Genomic DNA, 25,019 nt, shown 5'->3' with positions numbered 1-25,019 from the left:
GCAACATTCAATATTTCATGGAAAATATGGATTTCCCAGACACTGGACATATTGTTTTCTGAAACATGATTTGTGGAAACAGAGACCTGCCATTATATTCCAATGTGAATGTCAACCAAAAGCATCTCTGAATGTAAGTTAATGGCAAGTATACTAAATAGAATCAAAGTAAATCCATCCCCCCAAGAATAATATTAGAACTTTTTTATATACTTGCTTTTATTCTTAAAATATTACAACTTTTGATGGATAAGAGTCAAAACATTTGCCTAAGAATAACAAAAATAGCTGAGCAATTTTATAAAAGCTTCACTCAATTAATTCAATCATTCACTCAACTAAAATGTATCAATGTACTGATTAACAGGCAAAGATCTCAAGAAAAGATGATGCAATCTTTGCCTTTCAGATGTTTGATCCAGACTAAAACAGATCATTACATGCACATGTCCTGGGCAACATCAAGTAGTAGGATCAAATTGGGACAGGTAGGAGTAGAGAGTAATTAAGAGAAGATATGACAGAGACTACTGGTTGACCCTCAATATCAATTCTCCCCTTCATTTTATGGCAGGCTCCCTCAACTTTAGCAGGGTGCCTGGCTAACCAGCTAAAGCTGTTCTGTCCAATATGGTAGCCACTTGCCACATGTGGCTACTGAGCTCTTGAAATGTGGCTAGTCCTACATATTGAAATAACAATATTTTAGATATAGTAGGTTAAAAATACTGGATTACTTTCACCTACCACTTTTGACTTTTTAATATGACTACTTGAAAATTTTAAATTATGTGGCTTACATTGTATTAATATTGGACAGCGCTAAGCTAAAGACTACATCACTCAGCATTCCCTGAAGTTAGGTGTGAGTATGTGATGTTTTGGCTAATGAGACTAACACAGATTGAGTATTCCTTATCCAAAATGCTTGGGACAAGAAGTGGTTCAGATTTTGAATTTTTTCAGATTTTTGGAATATTTTCAAATACATAATGAGATATCTTGGGGATAGGACCTAAGTCTAAATATAAAATTTACATTTCACATATGTCTTATATGCATAGCCTAAAGGTAATTGTACACAATATTTTTAATAATTTTATACATAAAATTAAATTTTGACTGCATTTTGACTACAACTCATCACTTGAGGTCAGGTGTGGAATTTTCCTCTTGTGGCATTATGTTAGCCCTCAAAAAGTTTCAGATTGTAGAGCATTTCAGATTTTGGATATTTAGATTAGTCATGCTCAACCTGTATATACAATGTCTGAGTTGGGCTCTTCAAAGGAAGGGGTATGCCCACCACAATGTCCTTCTCTGTTCTTACTGGCAAGACGCAGACAAGTGGTGGTGAGCCAGCTGCCACCACACCAATAAGCATAATGTCCTAGTGATGGCGGGGCAAGAAAATAGAAGGAACATGGTCTCTAGATAGCCTCATAGATGAGCCACTCTACTCTCCAGATGAGTAGGTGTACTGCTTAGACTTTTACTTAAGAGACACATTCCTATCTTATTTAAGCCTCTGTTTAAATCTCTTTAAAGGAACCTAAATTATATTCTAGTTAACCCAGGAGAGTAGAAAAGAAAGATTCCTAAAGAGCAAATACTTTTAAGGAGATCTTAAAGAACAGATGTCAGCCAGGGGAAAGAGAGTGGTTATATTGATCCGAAGGGCCAGAAGCAAGATGAAGAGTGTTTGGGGCAGAGGAGACAACAGAGCAAAGGCAGAAAGCCAAGGACCCACATGATGTGTACAGTGAGCTCTCAGACAGGAGCATGAGCTTGGAGACAGGGAGCACAGAAAGATGGAGAGCGGGAACACCAAGGAACATGCTGCAAAAAAGCAGGTCAAATCCTAGAAAATCTTGATTGGTGGCTGGAGAACCTTGAACTTTTTTTGTGTAGGAATAGGGAGGTACTGAGGATCCTACTCAAGGAGGGAACAGCCAAATCTCTTTTCAGATGGATCATGCTGGCACCAGTGAAGACAGATTTTCAGGAGGCCAGATTGAAGTCAAGGAGAATAGCACCAATCCAGACACTATATAATCAGGGTCTGCGTTGCAGCAATACAGCATGAAGAGGATGTGTCAGAATTAAAGCCTGTGCAACAGGTAAAATCATCCCAGGGAATAAAGAAGAGGGAGATGTAAAAACAGACTTTTGGGTATCTGGCTTAGAAGAGAGTGCCAACATCCAGGGCAGGGAAGGCAGGAGGGGGAGCCATTTCTGGTGCAGCAGGGAAGTGGGGTGCAGTTTCAGACACTGGGCCTAAGATGTCAGCCTTTGTGCCAAATCATGTCATTAACAGATTCCCCTCACCCAGTGCTTAAGTATGGTACCAGAATCATATCAAAGATGTAGATTTCAAGTGGGCATTTATGTAGTTACCCACTGACCACAGATATGGACATCCAAACCAAGAGGAAGGGGAGGAGGGGGGAAAGGAAAGGAGGGGAAATTAATCAAAATCACAAGAATTTAAAGACACTGCTGAAACTCTCCAGGCTCTCAGAAAAAAAAAAGTGGGAAAATAGAAATGCACAAGACCTCTAGGGGAAATGGAGAATAAAAGAGTTAAAGCTATTACAAGAATTTAAAACTTTTGTTCAAAATGGTTCTTTCTTAACCTCTGCATTAATTTTGTTAGTAATAATAACACATCCCAACTAGCTTACAATACTTCATTTTCTCTAGTTCAGTATCATGTTTTCTGAGGAAGGGTCAGACATATCAAGATATAATCCCATTTAAGTTTTATTCAAAATTAAAATTAGTCAAGGGAGATGGAAATTCATAGTGAGTAATTTCTTATTACTCTAAACTATCAGAGTATGGTATTTTCTCAGAACTTACATACTCATTTTGGCTATTTTTTAGGAAACAATCTGAGAAGAAATTTCATCATTTCTGAATTTTGAAAAATGCCAGTGATTGGAAACCCTAACAACCTAATTATGTAAATACTTTTTAAAAATATGACCCTGAGAAGCCAGATACAGTACACGTCTGCAGTCCCAGCTACTAGAAAGACAGAGGTGGAAGGATTGCTTAAGCTCAGGAGTATGAGACCAGCCTAGGCAAATAGTAAGACCATATCTCTAAAAACAAACAAACAAACAAACAAACAACTTAATAATTTGATTTTTTTAAATGACCCTAACCAAGTTGCTTAAATTCTCTGAACTCCAATTTCCAGATATTTAAAACGATCAAATCTGACCTACCTTCCTACCTCCCAGAATTGTTGAGGATTGAATGAAATGTTAATAGGAGCCCTCTAAAAACTATAAAAAGATATACAAATTTTATTTTCTTACACAGAAGAAACTCCGCAAAACTACTAAAATCTCTTTCTTGTACAGAGAAGCAAACTAATGGATAGAAGGAAAGCAATAGCAATAATTAACCATGATTTCCATAGAAAATCTTCCTAAGCAAAAAATAAACTGTATCAGTGGAGTTTAATACAGATTCCCAGCTCCCACCTGCCAGAGATTCTAATTCAACTGGTCTCAGTGCCCAGGGATTTGTAATTCAAAGACCTCTCCAGGTGGTTCTAATGACTAGCAACAGAAGCTAGCCAGGTTTGTGCAGGGAGGAGACAGGCAAGAGAAAAATAAATGATAAGCAAAAGGAAAGTAAATGCAAAGGCAGAAAATCAGGCAGCAGTGTATGTTCAAGGAGCTCCTGGGAGATCTATTTGGCAGGAGGCAGGGCCAGAGAGGAATACAGGAGCCAGAGCCTGAAGGGTCATGAGGACTGAAGATTATCAGGGCTAGTGAGGGACTGAAAGTGGAAAACGGACATGCTCAGGTTTGCATTTTAGAAACTTCGTGCTGACAGCAGAGTGGAGTATGGATGGTGCTGGGGGAGCAGAGGTGGATGCAAACAGGTAGACGAGAGCATGGAAACACAGACTATAGCCAGGAAATCATCACAATAACCCAGAGAAATGGTAAAATCTGAAATATAGGTGAACATAGGTGAGGAAGAATTCCACAGAAATTAACTCAGGGTCTGCTAGTTTAAATGCTTGTCTATAAGACAGACTCTCACTAACTGTGCAGATAATACATCATGGGAGACACAAGAGCTACATACTGAGTGGTCCTAGCAGTGGCACACCTAGTGCATCTGATGCTGTCTATAAGACAGACTCTCACTAACTGTGCAGATAATACATCATGGGAGACACAAGAGCTACATACTGAGTGGTCCTAGCAGTGGCACACCTAGTGCATCTGATGCTGTCTATAAGACAGACTCTCACTAACTGTGCAGATAATACATCATGGGAGACACAAGAGCTACATACTGAGTGGTCCTAGCAGTGGCACACCTAGTGCATCTGATGCTCAAATAGGCAGGTCATTTAACATTCCCCACATCTAGATGACAAAGATATTTCCAGTGATAATCTCAAAATAAAATGCATGGTAATCGTGACCAGAAAAGGAATGCAGTGAATTTTTTTTTTTTTTTTTTGAGACAGGGCCTCACCCTTTTTCCCAGGCTGGAGTGCAGTGGCACAATCTCAGCTCACTGCAGCCTTGGCCTCCTGGGTGCAAGCGATCCTCACATCTCAGCCTCCTGAGTAGCTGGGACTACAGGTGCACACCACCACGCTGGGTTGATTTTTGCATTTTTTGTAAAGATGGAGTTTTGCCATGTTGCCCAAGCTGGTCTCGAACTCCTGTGTTCAAGCGATCCGCCTGCCTTGGCCTCTCAGAGTGCTAGGATTACAGGCGTGAGCCACCATGCCCAGCCCAAATTTTTACTTTATTGAACTGCATACTATATATAATTGTGCCAATAAAAAAATAAAGCAAATATAAATAAAACTATTAAATGTCTTCCAAAAATATAATGAAGGCAACCACTAAATTGCACTAGTTATGTAATGTTTTCTTTTCTTCATTCATTTTTCAGTTTTTAGAAATTGAATTTCAGTTTAAAAGATATTCAAATTCAATAAATTATTTGAAGTATAAAATGTTCACTTATGAAACTAAAATATTATAACTCACAGCTCTCATTCTGTTTCACTGCTTAACATTTTAAACACAAAAACTCCAAGTGGTCACACAGAATGACAGATTTAAAGTAACCTAAGCTTTGTTTTGGTCTTTAACATCACCGTGTTACCATTGCTTATTTCAAACCTACCATTTAAATGTACTGTTAAATAATACTATAGAAATCAAACACTTGTTCATGATGTGAATTTGAACTATGCCAAACCTTTGTGAATTTACTCTCAGAACAAATACTCATAGCATGTGTGGGACCCAACTATATAACTGGGAGCTGTCATGGACATAAATTTCATGTCGAATACAACATGTATTAAAGGATAAGTCATTAAAATGTACAAGTTTGAAGTTTACATAGATATTAAAATGTAACAGTGACTGCAGCAATTGTTTAGAACTTAAACCAACAGATTTTTTTTCAGGGAGCAGCCACATGAACAGATATTAGAGCATGATGATAGTAAAAACCAACTAACTAAAATCAGTCTTAAAGTGTTTTTAAATTCTTTGCAGATAATACACCCCTTACTGTCTGTACCCTGGGAGTGAGAGCAGAGGAGTGTGCCCACTGTCCTTGGGATACCACTGGAAAATGAAAAGAACCAAGAAGACGGAATCAAGGCCGATAAAGAACAAGCTCAGTGTGGTAGAACAGAACAAAAAAAAAAATCAGGGTAATCCTTGGGAGTGACCGAATGAGAAGTCACCCTCAGTTCAAAATGCAATGCATTTAAAATGCAAACAGACTCCTGGAATGCATTAAACACACTGGGAACAGAGCACAGGTATCGAGAGGTCAGAATTCTGAGTCAAGACTATTGTGTCTAGTCTGAAGCTTTTCCTCTAAAAAACAACTATGAACTTGGAGAAGTCATAATTGACCAACCAAATAGCCAATTAACTCTAGGGGGAAAGTTAAAAAAACAAAAACAAAACCCTGTTTTACACCTGGAAATATTTAGGATGACAAACTATGCAAATCAGATCCCCAAACACAGACAGATATCTAACATAGACGGTGACAAGTATAAACAATTAAGGCATTTAGTTTCACTATAAAGACAAATCTGCAAATGTAGAGGCAGGAAAAATTTCAGATCAGTTGAGTGGATTGAGTGGAACATAACCTCTTCTGGTCTTTTTCACAGGCGGACAAGCAGGATTCCCCCGCTCCAAGCCTTCTATAGAGGCTGCAAAGGAAAGTGATGAGAGCAAGGGCTTAGAGCCCCACAAACTAGGGATCAATAAACAGGCTACAAACCCCGCAGCAGGTTGCTTAACCTCTCAGCTCCTTAGTTCCCTTATCTGCAAAGCAGGAATAGTAACATTGTTGCAGGAATTCGAGGTAGTAGCATGAGGCTCCAAGCACAGTGCCTAACAAGGAAAAGCAATCGATAAATGGCCATCATCCTCTTCATTATTAATATCAAACTCCAAACTCCAAATGATACAAAGTGATCTTTCCATACCTGATGAAAATGTCACCAGATACTCCCTATAACGCAGCCCTCAAATGCTGCAGGGACTGCTTAGATGGTTGACTAAACCTCGTAAGCTCCATTTATACAACTGCGCAAATATGTTCAGAGGCTTTGCTAATTATGAGAGATCCCTGTCTTCTGTGGTAGGAATACCACTCATCCCCAGAAGACAAGATCCAGATGCGATAATTTTTAAAAATATATTAAAAAGCCATATCCTTCTCAATGAGGCAACAAAAACTCAAGACTCCAAGACAGTCAGTGTACTTAGGCCCTAAACATTTCTGATATGGAGAAGCAACTAATTTTTTTAAGAGTGTTATTGTTATAAATGAACATGACTCCAAATACAGATGAAATGAGCCAAAAAAAAAAAAAAAAGCCTTTCCCCTGCCATTATTTTTTCATTATGCCCACTAATCCAGGAGAAGACAGTCTTTTAGTCACCAGGTTTGAAGGATTAGAAGAGACTAATGCTTGGGGACCCTGAAACTGTCTTTCCTCATGGAAGAGGAAGGCAAGCATTTACAAACCATTTAAACCAATATATGACAGATGTACTTACACAAATCTCTTTGGTGGTAACTCATTTTTCCTGAAAGAGGGATTTGTGGTTAAACAATGCTGTTTCTCAAGTGGTCTTATCCTCTAGCTAAACAATGGAAGAATGTAAGAACAGTGTCTTTGTGACCATGAGTACAGAACCAGGGATTCCTACCAGAACATGGCCACTCATTAGTCCCTCCTTCTACACAACAGCCTCTTTGAGGCTTTCTTCCCCTAATTTGAATTGGCTCCACATTTTTCTTACATGTTACTAAACGCAGAAGTGCTAAATTGACAAAGAGACTTAGGAACTGGCACAGTACCAACTGATTACACTCCCTGCTTTTCCACACACATATTTACAGCAATAGTAAATCTATGTCCTAAATAACTCTCTGCAAATGGAGCTACAGTTTTTGGTTTTATATTTAAATATCATTTAAACTTTTGAAAGTGTTTCCAAAGTTAATTTCTATAACTTCATTTCATCAGCAAACTACCCAGTTTTATCTAAAGGGCTGGTATTATTCCCATTTCATAGATGAGGAAACTGGAAATGCAAAACACTCATCTAAATTAAGCTAGATTTAAACCCTCCTCAAGTTTAATTTTGAGACTCTAAGTAAGAACAGCTGTATTTTAGACAAAACTTGCTAATAAATCCTCAGCTGGCTGGCTTGTAGAGATAATAATTTCTTCTTTTTTGTTTAATTTTTAAAAAATTGTTAACATTAATAATACAGAAGAAAGTTTGGCTTAAACAGAGTATATGATCATTTGCCCTCCACTAGCTTAAACTTCCTTTGGCACTATAAATATCATATCTCTGCCAAACTGGTAGCTAAATGGCATTCTGATGTAAGAAGTATGAAAGATACTTAATAAGGCTGTTTAACTTTCTTAGGGGCTTTTCACATTGTACATGCAACTATTCATATATTGCTTATTGAATCACAGAAGGTGACAGATGAGGAAACTGAGGACTGGAATACCAGTAGCACTTATGGGATTATGTCCAGGTACCTGTCTGATCCCTTCAAGAGAAAAGCAGAGAAGAATCAAAGGAAGAGAGTTGAGACAAAGAGCAGGAGCCCAGATAAGAAATGTCCACCCCAGGCCTAGCTTACCATCCTCTACTCTATTCTAGTGGTCACAACATTATAGTACTAATGTCCCATACCTGTCATTTTCAAGAATGCTAGCTATTTCCCGTATGTGCATCTCATTTTAACCATATTCTGGTTTAGACATTCATCTGCGTTAAGAATATAAAAAGCAACACTTACTACAGTATTGACATTTATAAAGCCACTGATTGATTTGCCAATACACAGTATTCATTTTTATACAATTTGTTATTTCTAAATAAGAAAATGAAAAAGCACAAATGTGAAAAAGCATACCACTAATCTGAATAGCAGGAATGCCTCTAATTGCATAAATGTCAACCCCCAACACGTCTTCTTCAAATCTATTTATAGACTTCAGTTTTACATGGGATACACTATAGTTATATGACTTTAAATGTCTAGTGATATAAGGCTTACTATGCTATGTAGTCCTACATTACAAGCAAAGGAAGACTTCTGGTAGAAGAAACCACTTATTTTTCATTATTAGAAATTATCTATTGTATACTTGTACTCAAACTGCAATAATCCTATGTTCAATAAAGAGACTATGGCTAACAATTCACTGATAAAATCAATAAAATATAAAATTTATAGAAATGGTAAAATGTATATAAATTTATAGTTATGGTGTGCATATATATGTATACATACACACATTTTTTTACTAGCCAAAATATACTGACCCAAATATCCAAAAACAAACATATGAATGTTCTCAACAGCTGCACAAGTTACTGAGCTAATTACAAATGTCTCTCTGTACATATCTGTATAATTTTTTGATTTAGAAAAAGATGATTTCTAATTTGTTTTATTTCAAGATAGCTCATGCTCATTGTAAAAAAAAGGATGTATATATATTATATATATATATATATGTAATAGAAAATGAAAATCCTCCCTAATCTCTCAAGAGGTGACTGAATGAACAATACTTCATGTAAGTTTGGCCTTAAGACATGGTACATTTGAAAACCTACTTTGTAAAAATCCTACGTGCTAGGGCCATGAAGATCTTCCTACCAGAAAAAGGCATTAGGCTGGACATCAGCCTCCAAAACAGCTGCTCATTCTCTCTTCCCTGTAAGAAGCCTTAGATTTGCATACAAACACTAGCTACAAGCGCCAGCTACTCTAAAGAAGGGAAAAAAGGAAAAAGAACTGTGCAAATATATCAGTGGGGAAATCAACCACATATTTGGAATTCTATAGAAAAAAGTTAACAACAAGAAGAAAACAGGCACCTGGCAGGAAAAAATGTTAAGGAAATTATTGAGACGTGATACACTTCCTATCAAAACAACACATGAGGTGGTGATTCATTCGATTAGTATTTTCTAAATACTGTGCAATTTTAAATGTTCCATAAGTTCAGTGGTATTCAACTGTGGCAGAGAAGGATTTTATGTTTTTTAATTTTAGGTACTAATCAGTTCAAATCACCCTGTACCCCAAAATAAATAAAAACCAGTATGTACTCACTATATTCACAACAGTATTCTTTAACGTCACAAAGGCAAGATAATGCACTATAATTTACTTTCCCTAGTTTAGTTTTGGCTTAAGCTGTGGTCTTCAATGTAACTCAAAGTTGTAGGATACTTGGCCCTGGACTAGAGGCCTCTCCTCAAACAATTGAAACATTAGAATCAATTTGCTATTGACATATCAAGAACAACATCAAGACCTTTATCAAACATTTCCAGGATTCTATAAAATTGTTTCAATTCTCAAGTATCTACAGTTATAAAAATAGATTCACACATGTATAACTAAGTTTTTCCATACAAAGTTAAGATGTAAAGTCATGGCAAGCATATTGCCACAATAAAACAAACTGGAATATAAAGGAATCATCTTTTCTGTTTGATAATATTTGAGTTTCCCTCCCACCAAATAGCTACAGTAAATATTTATTTATAAGCCCAACTTTGAAAGGGTTTTAAAAAATTATTAGCAGCAAGTAATTATGTATGTTCAAAAAATAATAGTTTTAAAGCAAGTGCTACAGTTTGTGGTTGCATTCTAACGTCTGAAAGATAATCACTCCAATTACAGATTTTAATTAAAACATCAATTTCTTAAATTCACTTGTTTCTATAACATCACTGGAGCAGATGCATATTTACAATATACATTACATTTAGAACACCATAACAGGAAAGAAGAAAAAAAAAACTAAACAATACTTTGATCTCTATTATACCAGGTACGGCTCCCAGAAAATTGCCTTTGCTCAGGCTGCTGAGAGCACGCTGGTCCATTGCTTCTCCATATCACAATGTATTTACTGGCTTTTATGGCAGCTAATTTGTCAGCATTGAGAGCTCCTCAAGAGCTACCTCTAAGCTTCTTATCTCTGAACCTCCAGCATGCAGCATATGTCTGCCTTACAGCAATTACTAGCTAAACCCAACTCAATAAAGGCTCAAAAAATCAAATAACACTCCCAAAACTCCCTGAAGTAAAAAAGCTTTGGAAAGAACTCCTAAATGATAAGAGGGCTTAGAGCCCCTACACTCAGCAAGTAAAATCCCAAATAGAATAAATCCATTGTCCAAATCACCAATATAATAAAATATCTTTATCTTGAGGCTCTGTGAAAAGTGGAAGGATGTCATGCTTTAAAATACTACCTTTTTATAAGCACAAGTGTGTTTTCTTTCATACCACTAGGTAGGAACTACATAAAATACTAGAGGTTTTACAGATTTGCTATCTCTTTTTGAGGAAAAAAATTGTGAGACTAAACAGAAGGAAAATCCCTAAGTTTCTTGAGAGAAGGAGGAGAGGTAGAGAAAGATGGGAGCGGGGTTAGGGGAAGGGAGAGAGGGGATGGAACCATTATATAAGTTCTTATTTTAGCTAAAAACTGATAGTTATCAAAAAGGCCATACATTTCAGAGCATATTCTCCACCCAGCCTCACTGGGGTTAGGTACATTAAGTTCAATATGTTAAAATGAAATTAATACCCATTTTCATTCATCCTAAAATTCAATTAAAAATAATTACTTGATTATTACTGGCTGATTCCACCTCACTGCTCATGAAGTATTCTGACAACAATAACATGAGCTGCCATGACAGGGTAATCTCAAAGTATTTGCAACCATTTCTCCCCATAAAGATGCAACACTGAAGCACCATCTTCAAACTCAACTTCCTGAACAATCTAGATGTTGCCAGTCAAGTGTCTGAAAGCACTCTGGGAGCCAAGCGTGATGCTCGTAATGTGAGGGAGGCTTAAGACACCATCCTTACCTCCACAGAAACATAGAACTTGACAGATGGAACACACCGTGGAGATGGTCTGACCCTGGCCCCTTGGGTTTCAGATGAGGTCACCAGAGCCGAGAAAGGTGATATGACCCACCCTATATATCAGTGGCAATGCTAAGACTTCAACCCAAATCTACTTCTGGTCCAACCTTTGCTACATTCAGACTGACAATCTTTTTAAAACCTTCATCTTGCACACACTCTACTACCCCACTATGATGAATGGTGTGAACCACCAGCAATCACTTCCAACTCACACTAAAGAGACTGTTTTTCAATGAATTGAACATCAAACATCTCTCTACTTCTAATTTCTTCTGCTGCTGTCCACAAAGGTGCAACACAGCTGATGAAGATAAAGCTTCCTACCATAAATGTGAGAGGGGAAAAAAACTTACTCTTTATTTTTAATACGAAAAAACCTCTAATAAACAATATCCAAATTACTGTTAACATTCATGTCAAGATGTAGTTTCTTTAAACTGTTCTTGGTAAAGTTGAATTTTCTCTAGCTCAGCCCTACCATTGTGAGACAAGCATGCCAAGTGAAAAGTTAATTTGGGACTTTCTGTAGATACGAAGAAGATAACCTAGAGGGTTCATTTTTATTGTAACAACCTAAGTTATCTATAGTTGAAATCTTAAGCACCTTTTTATTAACACTAAAACATTTTTACAAGAAGACTAAAAATCAAAGGACATAAGACCTTTGTCTCATAATAAACAAATTTCTGTCCAAGTTGGAACTTTTCTAACTAAACATCAAGGAGTCCTTGATACTGTTTTATTGTCAGTGAGCAAGATATCAATATTTCTGGTGATCAAATGGGAGAAGAAACAATATACATGTATTTTATATAACAGTTACATATGTCAGGAAACATAGAACTTAAGAGAAATACTTCTATTTCACTCCCCCTTAAAAATCCGTCAGTTAAAACCCTATTAAAGCATTGGCAATGCGTTTTGTGCATTGTTCTTTTTCTCCAAGAATAGGAATGGCCAGCTGAATCCTGCTACATCTCTAGGGGCTGTGATAACTGCTATAAAAGCAACTTCCAGAAATCCATTCCTGAAGTTTTTGACAAGTTGCAAAGTTGACAACTCCGTGAAAGACAACACTTACATTAGATGAGCTGATTCTTATACCTAAATGTGGGTTTCTGATAATAAAAAAGGAGACAGGTTATTCCACAGAGTGATAAACCTGGACTTTAATTTCCCTACTACACTACCATATCCAAATTCCATCTCCACCAAGCTTTATAAATAGCCAATGAAATCACTACCTAAAGAAATCATCACAGTTTATAGAAACAACCAAAGTCCTTCTATTTGGAAAAGACATTGATTCTTGGAGATATGAAGAGATTACTTTCAATGAGCTCAAGACTAAAGCCAGGTCTCCTGATTCCTAGGTGTGTGCTATTTTCCACTCATACATAAATGATAAAAAAAAAATGGCTTTCTTTCTTTTTTTTGAGATGGAGTTTCACTATTGTTGCCCAGGCTGGAGTGCAATGACGCGATCTCGGCCCACTTGCTACCTCCGCCCCCTGGGTTCAAGCGATTCTCCTGCCTTAGCCTCCCGAGTAGCTGGGACTATAGGCATGTGCCACCATGCCTGGATAATTTTGTATTTTTAGTAGAGACGGGGTTTATCCATGTTGGTCAGACTGGTCTCGCACTCTCCACCTCAGGTGATCCACCTGCCTCGGGCTCCCAAAGTGCTGGGATTACAAGCGTGAGCCACTGCACCCGGCCCATGAATGGCTTTCTTTTTACTCTCTTCCCTGGCCCTTTGCAAGAACAAACATGAGGGAGTCATGCTCTTTAGAATTGTATCAGACAGTCTAAAGGCCCAAATAACCTGAGGTTTCCTAAAAATCTAAGGATACTAAAATTTTTATTTCAACTATTTTTAAAACCAGAATGTCAAGAAAGGAATAGGTTGGCTTGGGGCTGGTGATAGAGCATAGAAGACTGATCAAGAAAAGAGATTTCCTCCATGTCTATTTGTATTTTGTCTCCTTTTAGAAAGGAATGATTTTTTAATTAAAAAGGAGAGAAAGAACATCTCTAAGTGAGAAAGTCCATTGTAAGAGAGCATCAAGCTGGTCTGAATCAGTTCCAGGCTGCTGGACATGCCAGGATAGTAAAGAATCTGATGAGATTTCCTAACCATAATCCATCAGGAACTGTGGACAATGACAGAGGGATTCGATACAGGAGACAAGCACATGTCATTCCAACTTTCAAAACGGCAGATTCTACAAATTATAGACAGAAGGCATTTCATGTTGATCCTAGATTAAGATTCTAGAGCAGATTATTAAAAGTGTGGTGTATGAGGACCTCGAAGAAAAAGCAGTGGCATTTTGGAGCCAGTGTGTGCTCCCAAAGAATAAGTCACTTGAGAATAACCCCATTTTATTATGTGGTGATAATTTACCAGACTGTTAGACAAAGAGATATAATAGACACAGTATATATCTTTATGAGGAGATGGGGGATTAAGAACCAGATGCTGATACAAATAAGTAGTAATTAGTTGAACAAGCCTACTTGAAATTGATAAACATCAACCTGAACTGAAGTTTGCATAGACACATCAAATGGCTCTGCCCTAGATTTCAGCCTAAATAACACTTTTATTGTTTCCTCAGGCATTGAATAAATGTTTATCAAACCTATGGATACCTTGAGACTAAAAGGGGTAGTGAATATGAAAAATGTATAAACACTCTAAAAGACTAGGAAAAAATGGTCAAATACAGGAAAATAAATTCAAGAAAGATAAATATTAAGATTATTCATAAGACTAAAAACCCAATTGCACAATTCCATGAATGAGGATATATGGCTCCATAGCAACATACATAAAAAGAAACTAATTTTGAGATGACTATGAACGTGGAAACTCAACAGTACAGTTAAGAAATACTTTTAGGCCAGGCATGGTGGCTCATGCCTGTAACCCCAGCACGTTGGGAGGCCAACGGGGGTAGATCACCTGAGATCAGGAGTTCGAGACCAGCCTGGCCAACATGGTGAAACTCCGTCTCTACTAAAAATATAAAAATTAGCTGGGCATGGTGGCATGCACCCCTAATCCCAGCTATTTAGGAGGCTGAGACGGGAGAATTGCTTGAACCCAGGAGGCGGAGGTTGCAGTGAGCTGAGATCACACCACTGCACTCCAGCCTGGGTGATGGAACGAGACTCTGTCTCAAAAAAAAAAAAAAAAAAAAAAAATTAAAGGTATTGTTTATTGAGGAGTTATTCTCTTAGGTTCTGTGCTAAACACTTTATATAGACTATCTTATTGAGTCCTTTTTACAATCTTATGAGAGAAATAGACAAAAACTGAGGCTAAAAGTTTAGGTGACTTGGCCAAGACAAGCTAGAAGCAGCAGGCCATGAGTCTCCCCAAGTCTCTCTGACCTGCAGCTGCTAATCTTAACCATGAGGTGTCACTTCTTCCCTAGAAGAAAGGGGGACAGATCTGTGCTCTACACCAGAGGTCCCCAACCCCTGGGGCCAAAGACCAGTACAGGTCCATGGCCTGTTAGGAACCAGGTCACACAGCAGGAGTTGAGCAGTACGCAAGAGAGTGAAGCTTCATCTGTATTTACAGCTGCTCCCCATCGTTCACTTTACTGCCTGAGCTCCACCTCCCGTCCGAGCAGTGGCAACATTAGATTCTCATAGGAATGCGAACACTACTGTGAGCTGTGCATGCAAGGGATCTAGGTTGGGGACTTCTTATGAGACTCTAATGCCTGATGATCTGTCACCGTCTCCCATCAGCCCCAGGTAGGACCATCTAGTTGCAGGAAAACAAACTCAGGGCTCCCACTGATTCTACATTATGGTGAGTTGTATTATTATTTCATTATATAAAATGTACAATAAACATAATGCACTTGAATCATCCTGAAACCATCCCCCTCACCAAAGTCCATTGAAAGACTGTCTTCTACAACACGAATCCCTGGTGTCAAAAAGGTTGGGGACTGCTGCTCTACACCGTCAGATAGCATCTGGAAGAACTATACTTTAAAAAGAAAATAGTGAATTGGAATATGTCCAATATTCAGGTTTGTGAAAGGATTCAAAATCATGTCACTTAACAAGGGCTGAAGAAACAGATTTTTATTTTCTAACCTCAATAAAAGAAGACTTGAAGGTAGGATATATAATTAATTTTTTTAAATGTTAGAGGCTACCATATAAGAGAAATTGTTCAGAATGGCCTCCACATAGCAGAACTGTGACAAACTTAGGATAAGGGAGAATTGTTTTTAAAAGTCTAAGCTTTCCAAATAGATGGATTATCTTTATGGTCATGAGGTCCTCATCACTGAAGGTATTCAAGGACAGACTGGTCAACCATTTGGAGATAGGCCATGCAGGGGAATTGTGCACCTTCTGGAGACTAGAGAAAAACTTTTAGGTTTCTTTCAATCCAAAGACTCAGATTTTAATCAAGAATTTCATTCATTTCCCCATGCAGGTTGATACAGTTTCCTCAGAGAGGTCCATGAGGTCTCCCATTTACATCTGGGAAGGACTAACTGTCTAATTCCTGAGCAAACTTTGCCCTCCTCCCCCTGTACCCCAGTGTTTTCCAACGCAATCCACATCGGATACCCAGGAAAACACCACCACTAGTACTTGCAGTGGTGCTGCAAACAAGAAGGACTTGAGACGACAGTTAGCAAAATAACTAAATAACTGACCAACACGTGTATATTCTACTTTGAGCACCCTACAAAGTAGCCTAAATCAGGGTCCCTGTCATTAATGGGCTACAGTCACGATGTAAAGTTGAGACTTATATACAGGAACACAAAATGAACCCAGGGACAGGTGGTAAGTAAAAAATGAGAGGGTGGTAGGAGTTCAAAAGGGAAAGCAGCACAGTTGCTACTAAGTTAGTTGAAGGTTACAGGCAGAAAGTGGTTTAAGCTGGGCTTTGAGGACTGCAATACTTGTTGGCAAGGGAGGAAAAGGGGCCCACTAGGAAAAAGTCAAAGAAGTCAGAAACACACAACATGTTCCATAGGCAGTACTAGTCCTGGCTAACAGAACTGGAGAGTTCACAAGGGAGAAACAGCAGGAGGCAGTTGACACACCAACAGCATAACAGTAACACCATGAGAAATAGCAGGTGTTACCCTTTCCCTAGGCACTGTGCAATGTAGGAAGCCAGAAACACCTAAAGATTAGGAAAGTAGCTATCAAACCCAGCTGTACATTAGAATCACCTCTTTAGAAAATGATGCCAGGTCCACTTGAGAGATTCTGAACCCAGGTGGTTCCAGTGAACAACAGGGCTTGAAATCCTGGGTTAGAGGCTCAAAGTAAAGAACCCATAGTCAGTAGTCTCATTAATCACTGAATATCCTCTACCTTTCAGAACTCTAACACCTGATCATACAGCAAACCAGGAGGCTGGTGAAGCAAGAAAAGGAGAAGCACTGTTGAAAAAGAACCAGTGACAATGTACAGACAGTAAATCAGGGTCTTAGTGGGAAAAGACAAAAATATAAGCCCCCGAGGGACTTTGTCTGAACCATCCAGCCCAATGAAACCTCTTGCTTTTCACCATACTTAAAAGTCCTTCATGAGACTTCTTTGCCTGATAGAAATTATTTTTATCATAAAATTAAACAGTCAGCCCACTTGTCTTTCCTCTTTCCAGAGCTATACCACCCCTCTTCTACATGAGGGGTTCTTCAGAAGAAGAGGACTAGGGCAGCCATATGGCCCACACAAGGAATCTGGACTTGCATGTCTGAAATCTCTTTGGACTAAGTCCAGGAAGATAACTCCAAGTCATTTAAACCTGATGACTGTCTGGTAGTCAAGGAGAGATAAGGAATAAGAGTGACAGCTCATCATCTATTCAAATGCCTATTGCAGGCACAATGCTAACCTTTTAGACAGTACCTTTCCAGTAGTGTTGACCAAGACAAGTAAAGCAAATTGACAAATACATCACATTCACATTCAATTCATCAAGACTGAGTAGAATGTTAAAAAATGGGTTGCTCTTAGAGGTCATCCAGTCTAATCCTTTCCATTTTACTGGATGAGGAAACTGGGACCAGATAGGGTTCCAGTAGGAATATTCACCCAAGGTCACAAAACTGGAAAGCCAGAGGACTCCATCCCTTCCTCCAACTCCCAGCCTAGGGCAATTTCTCCTGGGGTCACACTGACATCTCACTACCTTCTGAAAGCTGAAAAACCTGCTACCCTTTTATCCTTTTTAAATGGTTATTTTCCATTTGCTATAACTACAACTTACTCTCTGTCAGGCACTACCAGGAGGGTTCTCTGTAAATTAAATCACGGAGTCCTCACAACAGTTGAAGCAGGTTACTATTATTATCCGCATTTTACAAATGGAAAAACCTGAGGTAGAGAGAGGTCACATAGCCAGGGCAAAGTTGGGGCTATTTAACCCAGACAGTCTGGCTCCAAAGTCCACATTCTAACCCCCTTCATGAGAGTTTATGAAATATAATTTCTTGAATTATAAAATGATGGAAGAAAAGGAGTAAGTCTTAAACAGAAAGGGCATGGTCACTAGTGTTTGATAATGAATTGAAAAGCTAAACCATAAATGTCATTAATATATACAATATACGCTTCATCTATTTATTAAGGGAATGTCTATTATATATATTTGAAGCATATTAACATTTCAAGTGTATATTTTTTAAAGGCACAATGATCATGTGCACAGCAGTCACACAAAGCTTGCCACTAGAAATAGGCAGAATGCTATTTGCCTGCTGGCTTTGGAAAGGTCTCTTCTGAACAGGCTACTATGGAGAGCAAAGCCACCACTGCTGATTTCTGCCTGTTGGTCCTCACTCATAGACACATTTTCATCTGCTCTTAAGAGAACATCGCTTGTATGTTAACTTTCTACAGAAATCAGACCTCGAGTTATTTATAATTGAGGGAAAGATTAAACTAAAACAAGAGAAAACACCTCTGAAAATTAAAATACATTTTTATACAAGTGTTCAAAACCAGTATCACTGGAACAAATGCCCACTATTCAATTATATACTTTTTTACTTTCTCTCATTAAAAAATGATGTCAGATCTCATTATCTTGGTTATCCAGGAGAAGAAGTCCAGGAGCAATAATGTTACAAATAAGCAAATTACTATTGTGCCTGAGATCAAATTTCAAGGGAAAAATGGAAGTCAATTAAGAAGATGCACTATCACATTAAAAAAATAAGTTACATGACTTATTTTGCCAGTCAAATGTCTTTAATTTTTTTTTTTTTTTGAGACAGAGTCTTTTTCTGTCACCCAGACTGGAAATGTGGTGGCACCATCTCAGCTCACTGCAGCCTCTACTTCCCCAACTCAAGCTATCCTCCCCACTCTGCCTCTCAAGTAGCTGGGACTATAGGCACACACCACACACCACCATGCCTGGCTAGTTTTTGTATTTTTTTTGTAGAGACAGGGTTTTGCCATGTTGCCCAGGCTGGTCTTGAACTCCTGGGCTCAAGCAATCCTCCCACTTCAGCCTCTCAAAGTGTTGGGGTTATGTGCATGAGCCACCACCCCCACCCTGGCCAGCCAAATGTCTTAATGTGGAGTGTGCAAAAGTCTACTCCGAAAATGCAACAGACCCTAAAAACTCTAAAGCCAGAAAAGTGTCACCTTCAACACGGAATCCAAAGATCAGAGAATCAAAGCAAAGAGCAGTGCTGGGCACATAGTAAGACTTCAACAAATATTAGTTGAATGAATGTAAATGAAGAACATGTTCATAGAAAGAGAGCCCCATAATAGAGATTGTCAAAATGGCAAAATAGTAGAGTGACACTGCCTTGGGCTTCCGAGAACTTCCAATACCATGATAATAACAAAAGAACTAAGGGTCACAGAGACTGGACAAAATGGCAGAGTATCATACAAATGGAGCAAAATGCTCTGTGATACAGGACCTGACCTACACTTCTTAAGCAAGAAAAATATCTCAAAGCCCAGCTTTGCCTAAGTAGAGATGTGGACTCAAGTCTGACAGGGTGGCATATTTACAGCACAACTTTAGCATGGCAGAATTCCCTGAATTTGGTGCACTTCAAATGTAACACTGTTTTTACATCCTCAGTAGGAGTTGCCCAGGTTGACCCACCTCTTCATAACAAATCTTATTTAAGGTTATGGGCGGGGGCCGGTGGGGGGATCCCAGAGCTACTCTGCTTCACTAAAAGCAACATAAATACAAATGCAATTACACAAAACCTACACAAACCAGATCTGTCATATCTGATTAGTAAATAAAAGCATAATAAAATTATAGTCAGCCTAGGTAATTTAGGCTCTGTTCAGTACCATCCTAGCCATGCCCAAGTGGTGAGGCTTTTCCAACATTTATATCATGAATCTTTTTTTCTTGGAATTCAGTCCTTGGTCATAAACTGGCAGGACTTGTTGGAGCTTGGGTACCAATATAGTGGTGTACAGAATGTTTAATATAGAAGTAATAGTATATGCTGCAATTTGTTTTAATACCTACTTAGAACACATAGTCTTTTCTCACGGGGCATACTAAAGGAGGTCATGTATCAGAGCTCACCTGAAATTCCTGCCCAATTTAAGTCTTAGCCACAAGTGTAGTTTCTTATAAGAACACAATAAGAAAACATTCCAAACTCTTCTGCAGTACTCACATAATTAAAAAAAAAAAGTATGAAACCCACCCAAGTGAGGCTTCTGAGACATTTCATAGAAACTTAGTTATTAACTACTATTTTTCTTCTTTACCTTTAAGTGTTTATAAACTGCTTAAAGGACAGTTGGGTACTTCAGAGGAAAGTCTAATGACACGCCTGCTATACAACCTGTTCTTAGTTGGCCAGATTGTGTGGTTTTGATAAGGAAAAAAAAAAAGTCAAAAGCAGGACAAACACTGATTCTCTGTTCTCCATTCTCCCATTACCCAAGACATTCATCTGAGTCACACACTCTATAGCTAGCTCTGAGCCTCAGTTTCCCTAACCATTAGCTATAAGATCTGATGCTAGCCAAATTCCTATTTGATCAAAGTTAATCAGCCCAATAATCACATATAGAGTCCACATCAGAACATTACATTGAAATACTATGTTGTATTAAAAATTCCAAAGGGTTTTGCCATATTCATCTCTTTTCTGCAAATACTCCAAAGGGGTTACTTTGGCTATTAATCAAGATTAGGCAAATACCCATGTGCTTTAGGAATGTGTAACTAAAAACCCAGGACAGATCTAGAGAAACCTTCCCAGGTTTCCCAGAAGTCATCACTACGCTTGGATTGTCATGTACAAAGTAGATGCCACAGAACCTAACAAGGGTAGGTCCTTGATTTGTTTTTGCAGTGAAAACAGGATTTCACTTACACCTGACAGCTTCAGGGCCTAGGAACACAAGATAACAACGCTTCAGAAAGCCAGGGGCCCCATGGAACCCCAAATGATCAGTTCTTTATAAACGAAAATTAAAGATCTTACTTTCTTTGGATTTTGCCCAATTGGTGTGGTCCGTGGTGAACCTCTATAACTCCTGGTGTGAGGAGATGTGTGGATACCCAGGCAGGGGTCAAGGCGGGAGAAGCCGCACAAACACAGATGTTGCCACTGTTCCTCGGCCCACCCAGCCAACCAATGCGGGGACGCTGTGGGCCTATAGAGATGGATTCTTTCTTAGAAATCTAACTGGTCTCTGGGAAACCAAAGCTGGGTATCCAGGGCCGCCTGAGCACCCAGTTTCCATACAGCCCTCGACCCAAATGGTGCTTTCTTGGCCAAACACCGGCCTGTCATTCGGAAAACCTAAGCACGGGAAGGCTGGGGCACCACCACATACACCCCGGGTATTTAAGGGGAAACAAATCCATAAAATAAGCGTAAGGAGTCCCACATAATTCTGACCACCTTTCCCAACCAAGGTAACCATAAATGCCTTTTGAAACACAGCAGATGCTTCCACACGAGTAAGTGGTAGTGCGTGTGTCCTGAGCTTGCGTTCCGTCTGCATTCTGCGGTCCTGGCCCTGCCAAGCACCCTCAGTCCCGGAGCTGAAGCATGGATGGGAAGGGCGGACACCAACTCTCGACGTTCTCCCTTCTCCACCGCAGGAGTGCTGTTTATTTCCCTGTCTCCCGAAGGACACTGGCGGGGCTTTCACCCGCCCAGCCCCCGGCTCTCAGTGCGCCCGAGCGACCCCGCGCTCCGCAGCTGCCGCCGCCGCACGAGGCTGCGCCGCCCTCTCCACTTGTTGCCGCTCCCGAGGGAGCGGGAGGCGGCGCCCAGCCCTCGCGCCGCAGCGCCTGCAGCGGTTCCCCGGTCACCTCTGCTGACCCTCGCATCCCTGGGGACCCTGGAGAAAGTGGCCCTGCGGATGCGAACTCAGGTGGACAAACTTTTCCGCCCAGAGCTGCAGGGAAACGCAGACGATGGAGTCCCAAAGAGCATTTACCTGGAGCGATGGCCCCGCAGCCTCCAGAACCCAGGCGAGGCTCTGCCCCCGCGCCCTGCCTGAGGGCGCCTCGGAACGCGCCCCCAGCCAGCCGCCGCCCGGAGTCCGGAAGGCTCTCCCCGGCGATGCCAACGCCTGGCGGCGGCCGGGCTGAAGCCAAGGTTTAGGGGGTGGAGCCGCGGCCGCGCGCCCGGGCCCGGCTGGCTGCGCCAGCAGCGGGTGCCGCCCCCGCTCCCCCCGCTCCCCCCGCGCCTCCCCGCTGCCACTGGATCCCCGCCTGCCCACCTCCCGGCCCGGCTCGCGGCGGCCGCATCACATGGCGAGGCCCGCCCGCCGGCCGCGCCCGACACCGGCTCCAGGAGGAAACCTGAAGCTGCCCCTACCGCGCTGTCTCCGCCAGCCCCCTCCCGCTGCGGGGCTGCGGCCGTTGGCCTCCGGAGATCGGAGGCGCGGAGGCTGGCGCGGACCTGGCGGGCCACAGGAGTGCCAGTTGCGCCCCGGGCGCCCCCACGCCTTGGCGCCTCCCGAGGGAGGCGCTGGGCTGCCCGCTCGCGAAAGGAGTTGTGCCAGGCCCGAGGGAGGCTCAGGCTGTTCCCAGCCAAAAGCCACCACACCCGTGACATAATACGGCCCGGGTCTATTACAATAGGAAATATTATTTTTAAAAACAGCATTTGCCCTCTTATTTGAAGCTCATGTTCCCTGGCCGAGAGCTTTGCAAGCTGCGATTCCCTTCACGTTTATGCACGCAAGTGGCTGCAAGTCTTAATTCAAAAACGTATGAAAACCATAACCACTTTTACAATGAACAGCAATGTGAAGGGACTTCCTTATCCTCCAAAGCAGTTTTCCTCTTAGATGTGATGACAGCCCCAAGAGCAGAAGCCAAGCCTCTTCATCAGCCAGGCTCTCATATACAGACTTAAGACCATTATTGCAGCTTTAAAGGTAAAATTGCCCATCTGAGACTGCTGTGGCAGTAAGTGTTATAGTTAAGACTATTTGTAAGGAAATTAGTATTGAAATATAAAGTTTCTAATAAAATTTATAAAATCACCTTGAGTCTCTGCTTTGTTTTTCCTTTGAAGACTGGCTACGCACAGAACCATAACAAAGGTGTGGCCCGAGGAAGCTGGCCACCAAGATCCCAAGCCAGAATGGAGCCCAGCTCCCAGGCTGCCACCACCACTTCTCCTGGGCCTGGGCCTTTTCTGTCTCCCTTCCAGCCGCCACCTTCCCCAGCCCACCTTGCTGATACGAATGCTGAGAAAGGCTGAGATTAGCAAGAGAAAGACCATCGTGTGTCTGAATGCCTTAGCCCTGTTCCAAGGCAAAGGCTGCAATTCCGCCTTGGGAAAGGGACCCCAACACTGGCATTGCACTCCTGACCTGGGCTGTCATCCCAGCTGATTCCACCCTCAGCCCCACAGAGCTGTGAACTCAAGGCCTGGCCTCAGGCGCTGCCACAAAAAAAAAAAAAGAAAAAAAAAATATATATATATATCCTGCCCAGTGTCAAGGTACACAAGATAAAAATAAAAGCAATAATATTCTTTTCAAAAATAGAAAAAATTTTGAGCAGGGCGTGGTGGCTCACACCTGTAATCCCAGCACTTTGGGAGGCTGAGGCGGGTGGATCACCTGAGGTCAGGAGCTCGAGACCAGCCTGGACAACATGGTGAAACCCCGTCTCCACAAAAACACACAATTTAGCTGGGTGTGTTGGTGCGTGCCTGTAATCCCAGCTACTCGAGAGGCTGAGGCAGGAGAATCACTTGAACTGAAGATTAACTGAATCAACATGCCAGACAAAAATGGTTTCCAAACTCTGGTGAATAAACATGGTGATGTGTTAGAAGCCTTTGTTGTTATTGTCCTTTTTCATATCACTAGTACTGAAGCCCTCTTTTTCTTTTTTTTTTTTTTTTAATTCTGGCAGGTATGTATCTTTTTTTAAAAAACAAAAAAATGTGGAAAGAGGAACAAATATTATAAGAAGTTACCCCCAAGCCCCTTCCCCACTAAAAAGAAACCAGCAAAACTAGTAATTGTGAAACTCTCACCACCCAAGGACATACAATGCTAGCTGCAGTTTTCTTGCCTGCTCTCAAGCCCTGAGCTTGATCAATATTTAAATACGTACTTGGCTTTCAACTTCTCTAGGTTCAAATATTAAGCAAAGTGTTTGCTTCAGCAACCTTAAAAGAAGCCGTGACTATCTGAGGCAGGAAGCTATCAGTTGTGTAAATAACCCTTTGCACCTGATTGATTTCACTGCTCCAGATATAGGTCACTCAGGACATTGCTGGCACTAAGCTTGGCTGGGACAGCATTTGTTTTGAATTCAAAGACTATATATTCTCTACAGACAAGGGACATTCAGCCAGCAAGAAACCAGGCTGGCCATTCAGTTAGGGAAATTCTAACTGCCTAGTGAGTATTATGCCAATGTCCTAGCTCAGCTCTGTCTTTTCTAGAGATTCAATCCCCATTCATCCTTACATACTTCACTCCAGATAGACCTCCTCCATAAATCCTTACATTGTCCTGGTTTCTGCTACCCTCTGAATTTTGGCAAAGCATAATGGCCTTACTACACAGTGTAGCACCTGATTATATTAACTGTCACATGTTGGACAACTGTAGGCTCTTATCCTCCCTTCAACTTGAAATTCAAGGACAAAACCTGTTCCTTACCCCTGTAATCTTCACAGTCCCAACACAGGGCATTTCTGGAGTATTTAGTATTTGTTTTTTAATTGAACTATCACATCCATTATGCAAGAAGAAAAATGTCACCATTTTCAAACTTTAATGAATTATAACCACTGCTAATTATATTATCTATTTAATTATTTCCTGGCCTTCATTATATTTCCTTTGTCAATAATTCTCAAAAATTGGATAATTGTAAATCTGATGTTTAGCCACGTGAGTTAGGGAATTACTAGTGTTTCTTAAGTGAAAGCAAGATACTAGAAAATGGTAGATTTAATAGGAGGTGAACAAACTCTGGAATACAAATAGGATGAT

General features: G+C 40.4%; 1 protein-coding gene and 1 long non-coding RNA gene across 5 annotated transcripts in view, besides 1 other annotated feature; one reads left to right on the top strand and one right to left on the bottom strand.

Moving 5' to 3' along the window:
- The window catches only part of ARHGEF28 (Rho guanine nucleotide exchange factor 28), a 315,795-nt gene extending 293,682 nt beyond the window's left edge, over positions 1-22,113 (bottom strand). For all 4 annotated transcript variants that reach the window (NM_001080479.3, NM_001177693.2, NM_001388076.1 and 1 more), the window contains exon 1: positions 21,987-22,113. The gene's annotated coding sequence lies outside the window, so the exon portion shown is untranslated. The remainder of the gene's footprint in view (positions 1-21,986) is intronic.
- On the top strand, positions 61-5,811 carry LOC107986423 (uncharacterized). The gene is made up of 3 exons (XR_001742743.2): positions 61-133; positions 1,969-2,120; positions 5,556-5,811. It is a non-coding gene; the product is annotated as an uncharacterized LOC107986423 (long non-coding RNA).
- Positions 22,315-22,404: a silencer, noted in NCBI's record as "silent region_16091". NCBI's record gives its function as "represses an Ori minimal core promoter by ATAC-STARR-seq in GM12878 lymphoblastoid cells {active_cell/tissue: GM12878}" and the evidence as "EXISTENCE:reporter gene assay evidence [ECO:0000049][PMID:35858748]".

Source organism: Homo sapiens, chromosome 5 (genome assembly GCF_000001405.40).
Source record: "Homo sapiens chromosome 5, GRCh38.p14 Primary Assembly".
NCBI lineage: Eukaryota > Metazoa > Chordata > Mammalia > Primates > Hominidae > Homo > Homo sapiens.
Note: the sequence above shows the minus strand (reverse complement) of the source record. Positions and strands in the feature narration are given on the sequence as shown.